This window comes from Homo sapiens, chromosome 10, assembly GCF_000001405.40.
Source record: "Homo sapiens chromosome 10, GRCh38.p14 Primary Assembly".
Lineage (NCBI taxonomy): Eukaryota > Metazoa > Chordata > Mammalia > Primates > Hominidae > Homo > Homo sapiens.
This window is the reverse complement of record NC_000010.11, coordinates 94615047-94627875: the sequence shown is the minus strand read 5'-3', so window position 1 is coordinate 94627875 and position 12829 is coordinate 94615047. Positions and strand designations below refer to the sequence as shown.

The 12829-nt window shown below is 41.0% G+C and overlaps 1 annotated feature.

The window, feature by feature from the left end:
- Positions 1004–1505: an enhancer, noted in NCBI's record as "NANOG hESC enhancer chr10:96386128-96386629 (GRCh37/hg19 assembly coordinates)". NCBI's record gives its function as "activates a minimal SCP1, AML or CMV promoter by ChIP-STARR-seq in naive H9 embryonic stem cells {active_cell/tissue: H9 hESC(naive)}" and the evidence as "EXISTENCE:reporter gene assay evidence [ECO:0000049][PMID:30033119]".

Below are 12829 nucleotides of genomic sequence, written 5' to 3'. Positions count from 1 at the left end.
TGAGATCAATAGAAAGGAATGTCTGGGTTAAGATAAAGGATTGTGGAGACCAAAATTCTTATTTGCAAAGGAAGCCTTCAGGTAGTAAAGGGAATAGGTTGTAAAATGTTTCTTATCAGACTTAAAGTCTGTGCTGATGTTAATGCTGGACAGGTATAATGAGGCATGTCCTACCCCCACTTCCCGTCATGGCCTGAACCAGTCTTTCAGGTTAAGTTTTAAGAGTGCCCTGGCTGAAAAGGAAGTCCATTCAGATGGTTGGGGGGACTTAGAATTTATTTCTGGTTTACATATCATTCCCTTAACATAAAAATAAAAGCAGCTATTAGAAAAGAGTTCAATGACTTATGCTGTTATTTAATAGACATTAATTTTTGAAGCAGAAAAGCATATTGGTTGTTTAACTTGAACTCTCACATGAAGTTTTGCTTAACAGAAGACCTCATAACAATTTGTATTAAAAAGATTTAGCGTAAGTAATGTGCTTTGAACAGTACACAGAGTAGCTCAATACACTATGCATACATGGTAGCAATTATCATTAGACTATCACTATAGTATGTTTTTCTTGTTGTCTACAAGCTTGCCTCTGACAAAAAAAACAAACAAAAACAAAAAAAAAACAGCATAACTCACAAAATGCTGAGGAAAACAGAACAAAACAAAACTACTGCCCTTTGGATGATTATAACTGCATGTGATTCAAAATGCTGCTTCATATCTCAGTGACAAATCTGAAAAGGATGAAAATACTAACCATTATGAGAATCATGAAACATTAATGAAAAAGGTGATATTTAAATTAAGCATTAAAGAATAGGTTGGGTTAACAAAATAATGCACATTGCTTCCAAAGACCATTTCAAATATCTCCAACTGGTTTTATATTTCCTTGCATTTGAGAATCACAATTCTGGAGGGAAGTTTGCATAAACACCTCACTTCTCTCTGTACCCATAAACTTTGCCATGTAACTTTGCAGTGTCCTCCCACCATGATTCTGGGCTTGCCCCTGTGACTTTCTTTAGCCATGGGAAATTAGCTGGGATGCAAGTAGAGGCTTGAAAAGTACTTATTCAATTTCACTTACTTTTGCGTCTCTGCCTTTGTTATGAGAAGATCGTGTCTGAGCTAGCTCTTTAGTGGCAGAAGGATGAGAAAACCTTCTCAGCAGTCTCCTCAACCCCATTGAGTCTAAATCAACTGAATACCAGCTGGCCACAGATGTGAGTCTAACCAAGGCCAGCTGAGCCAATCATTCAAGCCCTGCCTAGACCAGCTGACCACAGCCAACTCACAAACTCAGAAATAATAAGCATTTTAAGCCACTGAGCTTTGAGGGTGGTTTTGTACCTGGCAGTGGCTAACTAGTACATTCCATAATTACTAGGGCATTTTGCTTATTTTATTCTTGTTCCAACTTCTTAGTCAAAAAATGACTTTTATTCTGATTTATAAATATGTTTTTGAGATCAAGATAGCTGACTGAATGCCCTTGTTTACTTCTTCTCCCTCCCAATATCTTCTTTTAAATGACAAAATAAATATAAAAATTAATCTATGGCAGCATCGAAAATCCAGGAGGTGAATAATAACAGACCATAAAATTGAGAAACTTCTAGAAGACTAAGTATATGGAAATAAATTGCCAACAAAATACAACCAACCTAAATTTCAAAACATCAGATATGAGAAAAGAGATTTCTTTAAAAAATAAGAGTTTGGCAAGGTGTGGGGGCTCACTCCTGTAATCTTAACACTTTGGGAGGCCAAGGTAGGCAGATCACTTAAGCCCAGGAATTTAAGACCAACTTGGGCAACATGGAAAAACCCCCTCTTTACAAAAAATACTTTAAAAAATATAGCTGGGTGTAGTGGCACACACCTATAGTCCCAGCTACTCGGGAGGCTGAGGTGGAGGATCACTTGCCCAGGAAGTGGAGGTTTCAGTGTGCCAAGATGGTGCCACTGCACTCCAGCCTGGGTGACAGAGCAAGACTTTGTCTTAAAAAGAAAAAAAAATCTAGTTGGGCATAGTGGCACATGCCTGTGGTCCCAGCTACTTGGGAAGGATCACTTGAGCCCAGGAGGTTGAGACTGCAGTAGGCTATGATCATGCCACTGTACTCCAGCCTGGGCAACAGAGCAAAACCCAGGCTCAATAAAATAAAATAAAATAACTGGACTACTAAATTTATTTGTTTATGCATGATGCTCTACTATCACTGTTGTGGTTCAAATACACCTTCAAAGTCCTCTGACCATAATTCCAATTTGAGGACAGGTGGAAAATATGTGTAACTTCATGATGACAAAAGCTGGGCAAGCAGAAAAAAATATAGCATGTCTTGTTAAGAGGGAGACTGTTCTAAGTGTCAAAGACTACAGGTACAAGCCCTATTATCATAGATAGTTGTGTGATAACCTTCCTGTGAGTATCTTCTTGTCAGCCTCCCCCATCTCCAACTGAATCTTTGACAATCAACTTCCAGGCAAAGATACAAATAAGACCCACAGACAGGTTCTTCCTACTATATGATATAGCAGCATACTTGGAGTTAGACTAACTAAAAAGTGAGGGCACAATTCTCCAGACTGCAAGCCTTCTGACACCAACTATAAGTTTTGAGTTTCCCAAAATCACCCTCAGATTCAATAACTTGCTTGCAAGATTCATAGTACTGAAAGCTTGTATATTCTCAGTAACCAGCCAAAGGAAGAGATGCATCGGGTGGAGTTGTGGAGGGGTCCAAATGAAATAGGAGAGTTCCTTGACCCCCCTCTCAGGACGTGCAACAGGGGTGTGGCTCACCTGTTTGGTGCTCAAATCCTTGACAGGTGGGGGAGCATGCAGACAGGGAGGTGGAGTACCTAGGGTGAGTGATGTGGACTCCAGCCCCATAGTAGTCTCTAGGGGTGGGTGCCTGCGGCCCCAGTGTCACAATGCTCTTTTAACCTTGCCTTCCTCAGATGGCTTAAGTGTTAACCAGCTCAATGGGCCCTCTGCCTTTTCACAAGAGCAGAGGGCTAGTGTGACAGCTTTCTGTATCCTGAGCTCTTGCCCAGTGTCCTGAAAGAATTGGGTCACACACGGGCTTGAAGGATGAATGCAGAGGTTTTAATGAGTGGTGGAGGTGGCTCTCAGCAGGATGGATGGGGAGCTGGAAGTGGGGATGGAGTGGGAAGATGATCTTCCCCTGGAGTTTGGTCATCCAGCAGCTGAACATCTCTCAGACTGCCCCCAGCCGAACTCCTCTTTGTGTTCAGACATTCCTTCTCTTCTTTCTCTGCTGTGCCATTCTACCATTTGCCTCCTTATCTCCTTGTCTCTTTGTCTCCTCATCTGCTTCTGGAGCCTGAGGTTCGGGGTTTATTTGGGTACAGGATACAGGGGCAAGGCAAACCAAAAGGCAACTTTTGGGGCACAAAAACAGAAGTGCCTGTTCTCAGTTAGGGCCATGGGTCTCCAGGCTTGAGAATGGGGCCTTTGCTGGGGAAACGCCCTTCTTCTACCCAGTATTTCCCTGTCTCCTGTCCACATCGCAAATGCTGAGCTTTCCGTTAACCTCTACCCATGGATCCATAGCCAGTGTTACTTCCTCCCAGCCACAGTGGGCTACAATACCTGTACAAGGCAAAGCTCATCCTACTGTCTATGTCCAGGGGTTTTATTCAGGCTTAATGGTTAATTCATTGGCCACAGGTTAAATGTAGGCATCAGCTCTCCCTTCTTCCCAGGAGGTCAGTCTGACATCATGGGGGCCCACCATTACACACCTTATTTTATTTTGAGATAGGGTGTCACTCCTTCATCCAGGCTAGAGTGCAGTGGTGCCATCATAACTCACTACAGCCTCAACCTCCTGGGCTCAAGCAATCCTCCCACCTCAGCTTCCCAAGTAGCTGGGATCACAGGCACACGCTGCCATGCCTGGCTAATTTTTTTTTATTATTATTTTTAGAGATGGGGGTCTCATCACATCAGCCAAGTTGGTCTCCAACTCGTGGGCTCAAGCTATCCTCCCACTTCAGCCTCCCAAAGTGCTGGGATTAGGGGCATAAACCACAGCACTCAGGCCATGAATCACCTTATTAGCACTAACTAGCCTTGTGGTCTGAGGGGCCCACCAAGAATAACAAAGACATTCCTATCACTTAGGAAATTCCAATAGCTTAGAGATTACCTCCTAGGAGCCAAGACAAAGGCCAGGTCTCTCCTTGGATGAGGCCAGATTCTTTAAGAAGAAACTTCTCTGTTGACCAGAAAAGGTTCTGTGATTCTTATTGGGGAAGTAGGGTAAATATATGGTAAACAAAAGGCCAATATAATGATCTGCAGTCATGAGTTAACTGAGGGATATCCTTGTTATCTACAACAAGTGATAATAATGTAAGGAAGAAAAAATAATTTTCTCTACCATTCATAGTTCTTCACTGGGACTCCCTGTAACAAAAGATAGGTTAACAGGAGAAAAGGTTTATTAACATGTATATTTTCATATATACAAGAAAGACATGTAAGGAATAAGTAATTTTTTAGAGTACAGAGAAAAAGAGCATGGGGAAAAAGCCTGGTTAAGATGAGAGAGCCAGGAAAAGCACCTTACACAAAGGTAAGATTTGTTATCTGAGGGCACCTTCTCCATTTAGTCATCCCTCTCTTCTTTGTGCAAAGAAGATATCCTTACTGAGGAGAGGAAAGATCACCTCGGCCATCAAGCAGACCATCTGGAGGCAAAGCCCCTTATCTGAGGAATTCAAGAAGTAATTACACTTCCCTATTATCTTGTGAAAGGAAAATAAATCTCAGGACCCCAAAATCACAAGTCAAGGGAAAAGTCAAGCAGGGAACTACAAACCTGCCTCCCATTTTATTCCAAAATAAGATAGCTAAAAAGATAAAAGAGCTACATACCTCCCTCACAATTTGCCCACAAGGAAATTCCTTGTGGGCCTCAAGATCTTTACCCTAAAGGAGTTCTGTTGAATTTCACTGACAACAAACTGATAGCTTATCTTCACAGGTGCAGCACAGAAAATCATCCCTCTGCTATCTGAGACAAATGCATATCTGATTGCTTCCTCTGCCCTACTGTTTATGTAAAAATACAGATTCATTGAGCCATATTAAATTGTGTATTCTGTGGAAGGCTGATCAAGGACTCAAAAGAATGCAACATTTTGTCTGTTATTTACTTATGACCTGGAAGCCCCCCCATGCCCTCCCCTCTTTCAAGTTGTCCCATCTTTCCCATCCCATCTTTCCCAACCAAACCAATGTACATCTTATACATATTGATTGATGATACATATATATATGTATAAAATGTATAAAAGCAAGCTGTAACCCAAACACTTTGGGCACATGTCATTAGGACCTCCTGAGGCTGCATCACAGGTGCATCCTTAATGCTGGCCAAATAAACTTTCTAAATTGGTTGAGACCCATCTCAGATATTTTGGGTGCACAATCTAAAACACGCTTGTCCAGCCCACAGTTCACAAGCTGCATGTGGCCTGGGACAGGTTTGCATGCAGCCCAACACAAATTCATGAGCTTTCTTAAAACACTATAAGAGATTTTTTGTGATTTTTTTAAGCTAATCAGCTATCATTAGTGTTAGTGTATTTTGTGTGGCCCAACACAATTCTTCTTCTAATGTGGCCCAAGGCAGGCAAAATATTGGACAACGCTAATTTAATATCCGTTATTTCTTTCTTTTGCCTGATTGCCCTGGCCAGAACTTCCAATACTATGTTGAATAGGAGTGGTAAGAGAGGGCCTCCTTGTCTTGTGCCAGTTTTCAAAGGGAATGTTTCCAGTTTTTGCCTATTCAGTATGATATTAGCTGTGGGTTTGTCATAAACAGCGCTTATTATTTTGAGATACGTTCCATCAATGCCTAGTTTATTGAGAGTTTTTAGCATGAAGAACTGTTGAATTTTGTTGAAGACCTTTTCTGCATCTATTGAGATAATCATGTGGTTTTTGTCTTTGGTTCTCTTTATGGGATGGACTACGTTTATTGATTTGCGTATTTTCAACCAGCCTTGCATCCCAGGGAAGAAGCCGACTTGATCGTGGTGGATAAGTTTTTGATGTGCTGCTGAATTCAGTTTGCCAGTATTTTATTGGGGATTTTCGCATCAATGTTCATCAGGGATACTGGCCTGAAATTTTCCTATTTGTTCTGTCTCTGTCAGGTTTTGGTATCAGGATGATGCTGGCCTCATAAAATGAGTTAGGAAGAATTTCCTCTTTTTCTATTGTTTGGAATAGTTCCAGAAGGAATGGTACCAGCCCCTTTTTGTACCTCTGGTAGAATTCGGCTGTGAATCTGTCAGGTCCTGGATTTTTTTGTTGGTAGGCTATTAATTACTGCCCCAATTTCAGAATTTGTTATTGGTCTATTCAGGGATTCGACTTCTTCCTGGTTTAGGAAAAGAAGAAGTCAAATTGTCTCTGTTTGCAGATGACATGATTGTATATTTAGAAAACCCCATCGTCTCAGCCCAAAATCTCCTTAAGCTGATAAGTAACTTCAGCAAAGTCTCAGGATACAAAACCAATGTGCAAAAATCACAAGCATTCTTATACACCAATAACAGACAAACAGAGAGCCAAATCATGAGTGAACTCCCATTCACAATTGCTACAAAGAGAATAAAATACCTAGGAATCCAACTTAAAAGGGATGTGAAGGAACTCTTCAAGGAGAACTACAAACCACTGCTCAATGAAATAAGAGAGAACACAAATAAATGGAAATACATTCCATGCTCATGGATAGGAAGAATCAATATTGTGAAAATGGCCACACTGTCTAAAGTAATTTATAGATTCAGTGCTATCCCCATCAAGCTAACATTGACTTTCTTCACAGAATTGGAAAAAACTACTTTAAAGTTCATAGGGAACCAAAAAAGAGCCCACATTGCCAAGACAATCCTAAGCAAAATGAACAAAGCTGGAGGCATCACGCTACCTGACTTCAAACTACACTACAAGGCTTCAGTAACCAAAACAGCATGGTACTTATACCAAAACAGATACATAGACCAAAGGAACATAACGGAGGCCTCAGAAATAACACCACACATCTACAACCATCTGATCTTTCACAAACCTGACAAAAACAAACAATGGGGAAAGGATTCCCTATTTAATAAATGGTGCTGGGAAAACTGGCTAGCCATATGCAGAAAGCTGAGACTGGTTCCCTTCCTTATACCTTATACAAAAATTAACTGAAGATGGATTAAAGATTTAAACATAAGACCTAAAACCATAAAAAGCCTAGAAGAAAACCTAGGCAATACCATTCAGGACATAGGCATGGGCAAGGACTTCATGTCTGGAATACCAAAAGCAATGGCAACAAAAGCCAAAATAGACAAATGGATCTAATTAAACTAAAGAGCTTCTGCACAGCAAAAGAAACCACCATGAGAGTGAACAGGCAACCTACAGAATGGGAGAAAATTTTTGCAATCTATCCATCTGACAAAGGGCTAATATCCAGAATCTACAAGGAACTTAAACAAATTTACAAAAAAAAAAAAAAAAAAACAACCCCATCAAAAAGTGGGCAAAGGATATGAGAACAGACACTTCTCAAAGGAAGCCATTTATGCAGCCAACAAACATATGAAAAAAAGCTCATCATCACTGGTCATTAGAGAAATGCAAATCAAAACCACAATGAGATAACACCTCATACCAGTTAGAATGGTGATCATTAAAAAGTCAGGAAACAACAGATGGTGGAGAGGGTGAGGAGAAATAGGAATGCTTTTACACTGTTGGTGGGAGCGTAATTTAGTTCAACCACTGTGGAAGACAATGTGGCGATTCCTCAAGGATCTAGAACTAGAAATACCATTTGACCCAGCAATCCCATTACTGGGTATATATCCAAAGGATTATAAATCATTCTACTATAAAGACACATGCACACGTATGTTTACTGTGGCACCGTTCACAATAGCAAAGACTTGGAACCAACCCAAATGCTCATCAATGATACACTGGATTAAGAAAATGTGGCACATATACACCATGGAATACTGTGCAGCCATAAAAAACGAAGAGTTCATGTCCCTCGCAGGGACATGGATGAAGCTGGAAACCATCATTTTCAGCAAATTAACACAATAGAAAACCAAACACTGCATGTTCTCACTCGTAAGTGGGAGTTGAACAATGAGAACACATGGACACGGGGAGGGGAACATCACACACCGGGGCCTGTTGGTGGGAGGGATAGCATTAGGAGAAATACCTAATGTAGATGACGGATTGACGGGTGCAGCAAACCACCATGGCACATGTATACCTATGTAACAAACCTGCACATGCTGCACATGTACCCCAGAACTTAAAGTATAAAAATATATATATATTGGACACCTCTGACTAAAGCCACATCTGGTATCAGGCCTCTTTCCCAAAAATGTGTAAGTAACAAGAATTTCAATACATCTCCAGAATGCACGCATGTTGAAACCCATTGTGCAAACTTCGCTGACATCAAGGCACCAAAATGTCTACACATGTAACCATTTATCATGACCTACATTACTAATATGGTCCAAAGTATCCTTAAGCTCCTGCTTTAAGGTCCATAAATACCCCTACGGAAAATCCACAACTGCACACTCAGTCCTCTCTTGCTGAAGTGTCCCAGTACACTCTGCTGCAGTGTTCTTTCTAATAAAACTTTCCTTTTCAAACCTATACTATTGTTGGTAAATTCTTTTACCAGCAGGGAGCCAACCAGTCTTCACTGCCCGGGCTTTGACACCTTGCCTGGCACTTAAAAGTGGAGATTTCCTGTGTAAATTTATCTTACAAATGGGCACCTTTTCAGAACTACTCCTGCATCTGCAGTTTCTTAAAATAAGCAGTTCAAAATAATCAGTTCATCAAAGAGGCATATTTTGGGGTGGTATATTATGGTCTCCTGCAGTCATAGAGACTTTGGGGTGATGTGGCCTGATCCCAAACAATGACTAGATTCATAATACAAATATTAAATTACTAGTATGTCAAGTTACGTTATAAAATCATTCCCCTTTCATAAAGCAAAACTTTGTTTATGGAATTTTTGTTTTCCAGCAAGGAACCAAGAAGACTACTTAACCTCTCTAGTAGAATTTCTTAGCCTGGGCAACATGGCAAGACCCTGTCTCTACGAAAATTTAAAAATAAAAAAATTGGTTGGGTGTGGTGGCACACACCTGTGGTCTCAGCTACTTCAGAGGCTGAGGCAGGAGGATCACATGAGCCAAGGAGGTTGAGACTATAGTGAGCTATGTTTGCACTACTGAACTCTAGCCCGGGAGACAGTGAGACCCTCTCTCAAAAATAATAATAATAATAATAATAATAATAATAATAATAATAATAATAATTTCTTGAGGTTTTGAAGAACGAATAAATAAAAGGAAAATCCTTGAACATTTGTAGGGGACAGTATTCCCGGCTTATTCAACATTCTCCCCTACCTACTTTTTCCTTCCTAACAGAGTAATACCAATGTAATTCAGTTATCCACCCATTTCCCCAGGCAGCTAAATACCTTGGTGGAAGCTGATCCAACCCCTACATCCAGGGAGCAGCAAAACATAATTTTGCATATATTGCCAGAGATTGCCTCAGGAATTTGACACAAAGATTCATGATGGGAACTCTCATGGCAAGTTTTGAGGGAGTTATCTTGTTCCTAGGAGAGCACCAAAAATGTAGTCTCTCTTCATCCTCTGGATGTGGTTGTTTCTGGGTGTGATGCCTGGAAACACTTGCTACCAGTATGAGAATGAAGCTGCCACTGAAGAAAAGCATGATGAGAGCTAGAAATACCTGCATGACATCACTGAACCAGAGTCAAACAGCTCTGAAGCATGTCCAAATGTAGGCTTTCTATTGTTACAGTAGGTAGCTAGACAGGCATAAGTGGGGCAGGAGAGGGTTCCCCCCACATCCCAGGTGGCCATCAGGTGATGATCAGGTGGTTAACTGTCTCCATAATATAACTGGTCACAGCCAACACCAGGGAAAGGCAGTCTCCCAACATATACGAAACACCTAAGACTAGTGATCAGCAGCTTCCTGATAAGATCTCAGGAGTTGGGCGAGTAACCTCAAGCATGCACATTAACAGGCAAAACGGCAGAGTTTAACTGGTATATTACCTTTCAGAGGCATTCCACCAGAAAAGCGATCCTAGATGCCAGATGTAGGCCAGCATATAAAACCCTAAGGCCAAGGTCAAATAGTGCACTTGACCTCCAAGATGTTCACTTGGCCCTCTTCCAAGTGTACTTTACTTCCTTTCATTTCCTGCTCTACAACTTTGTAATAAACTTTCACTCCTCCTCTAATATTTGCCTGTCTCTCCTTTGCCTTATGCCCCTCAAATTATTTCTTCTCAAGAGGCAAGAATTGAGGTTGCTGCAGAACCGTATGGATTCACCACCAGTAACATATTTGGGCCAACAGGAATTGTTCTGGGGGTTGGTAAGCAAAAGGGGAAAAAACCACATATGGGGGTTGAACACCACCAAAGAAGGTGAGGCATAGAGATTTCTTACCACTAGGGAACATATCTGAGCCACATGGCTATTGTAACACTATTATGTGAAGTAGTAAATTATCCCTTTATTTAATTAATTTATTTATTTTTTTGAAACAGAGTCTTGTTCTGTCGCCCAGGTTGGAGGGCAGTGATGCGATCTCGGCTCACTACAACTTCCGACCCCTGGGTTCAAGCGATTCTCCTGCCTTAGCCTCCCAAGTAGCTGGGAATATAGGCATGCACTAGCATGCCCAGTTAATTTTTTATTTTTTTATTTTTTGAGACAGAGTCTCACGCTGTCACCCAGGCTGGAGGGCAGTGGTGCAACCTCGGCTCACTGCAACCTCCACCTCCCAGGTTCAAGCAATTCTCCTGCCTCAGCTTCCCAAATAGCTGGGACTATAGGTGCCCACCACCACGCCCAGTTAATTTTTTTATTTTTAGTAGAGACAGGATTTCACCATGTTGGCCAGGTTGATCTTGAACTCCTGACCTCAGATGATCCACCCACTTCGGCCTCCCAAAGTGCTGGGATTACCGCCACCGTGCCTGGACTAATTTTTGTATTTTTAGTAGGGATGGGGTTTCACCATGTTGGCCAGGCTGGTTTTGAACTCCTGACCTCAAGTGACCCACCCGACTCGGCCTCCCGAAGTGCTGGTATTACAGGCATGAGCCACCGACCCTATTGTTTTTATTTTATTATCCCTGCCTAGAGTAAGTGCTGAAATTTCCCTATTTTTTAAACCAGCCTGAGTTGAGGCTCTCCCAATCAAAATCATCTTAGTTGATAATAGCAATGAATAGAGGAGATGAAGAAAAAAATCTCATAGAACTCCAACAAAAGGAAAACCTGAGCCACAAAACTGAAAATATAAGTCATGAGAAATCTATAAATCTTCTTGTTAAAACTAAAATAATGCTGTTTATAACAGATGTAACTAAAGTACTGAAAATTAAGAAATGAAAAAATATATTTCTGATAAAAACTAACAAAGTGAAAATGGGATAACAATACTACTATTAAGCAAATTAAAATGAATAACATTAACAAGGCCTGAGAGAACTATGGCTAGAGATTGTTTTGTCAATTAAATTATATAACAATTATGTGCCTTAAAGCATCTGACAGCATGACTTCAACATACAAAAAGCAAAAAACTGACAAAATAAAAATTTTATAAATCCATAATCATGATAAAATATTTTTAAAACCTCCCTCAAAATTAAGCAGTTCACATAAGAAATGATATAAAGGATTTGAATAAGTTTGAACGTGTGCGTGTGCATATGTGTGTGTGTGTGTAGATCAGGCAGGCTTGGTCCACATAGAGGATCTCTAGAAGAGAAAAAAAGATCAGCAGTGTTTTTGGCTGCTTCTGAGTCTGGCATGACACATTTAAACTTTGACAAACCCCTAATACATATAGTTTTGTCCACAGGACATTTGCTGAATTCTGTGGCTACAAATGAAAAGGTGAGTAGACTGGTGGCCTCTAAAAAGAGTGAAATTTCCCATAATCTCAAATTACTTAGAAAACAACATTCTACTAAGAGTCCTCCACCTCAAGACACTTGCCAGATTTTGAAGCTGCAGGGGAACCAGAGGCTCAAGAGCCAATTAGATCAAAACCTCTAAACGGCAAAACTAAATTAGTCCTTCAGGGATAAGGAGCCAGAGACTCACAAGACTATAAATCAAAAGCCAAGGAGAACCATGCTCATAGAAGACATAAACTAGGCCGGGCACGGTGGCTCACGCCTGTAATCCCAGTACTTTGGGAGGCCGAGGCAGGCGGATCACAAGGTCAGGAGATCAAGACCATCCTGGCTAACACGGTGAAACCCCCCATCTACTAAAAAATACATAACATTAGCCGGGCGTGGTGGCGGGTGCCTGTAGTCCCAGCTACTTGGGAGGCTGACGCGGAATGGCATGAACCCGGAAGGCGGAGCTTGCGGTGAACCAAGATCGCGCCACTGCACTCCAGCCTGGGCGACAGAGTGAGACTCCGTCTCAAAAAAACAAAAAGAGATAAACTAGAGGTGAACTAAGTTTTACCAAGATTTCAACATAGCCCAAACCCAATAACCCTGATGGGATTGAAGAGACCAACCCCTCGTGATTAATATGTTGTTTAAAAAAAGAGGGAAAGGAATTAAAAGATAAACAATTTCAGCTGGTAATATTACAAGGAATTAAATAAGCATTCTGGAACTCAACAATGCAGCATCTGAAATTAAGAACTCGC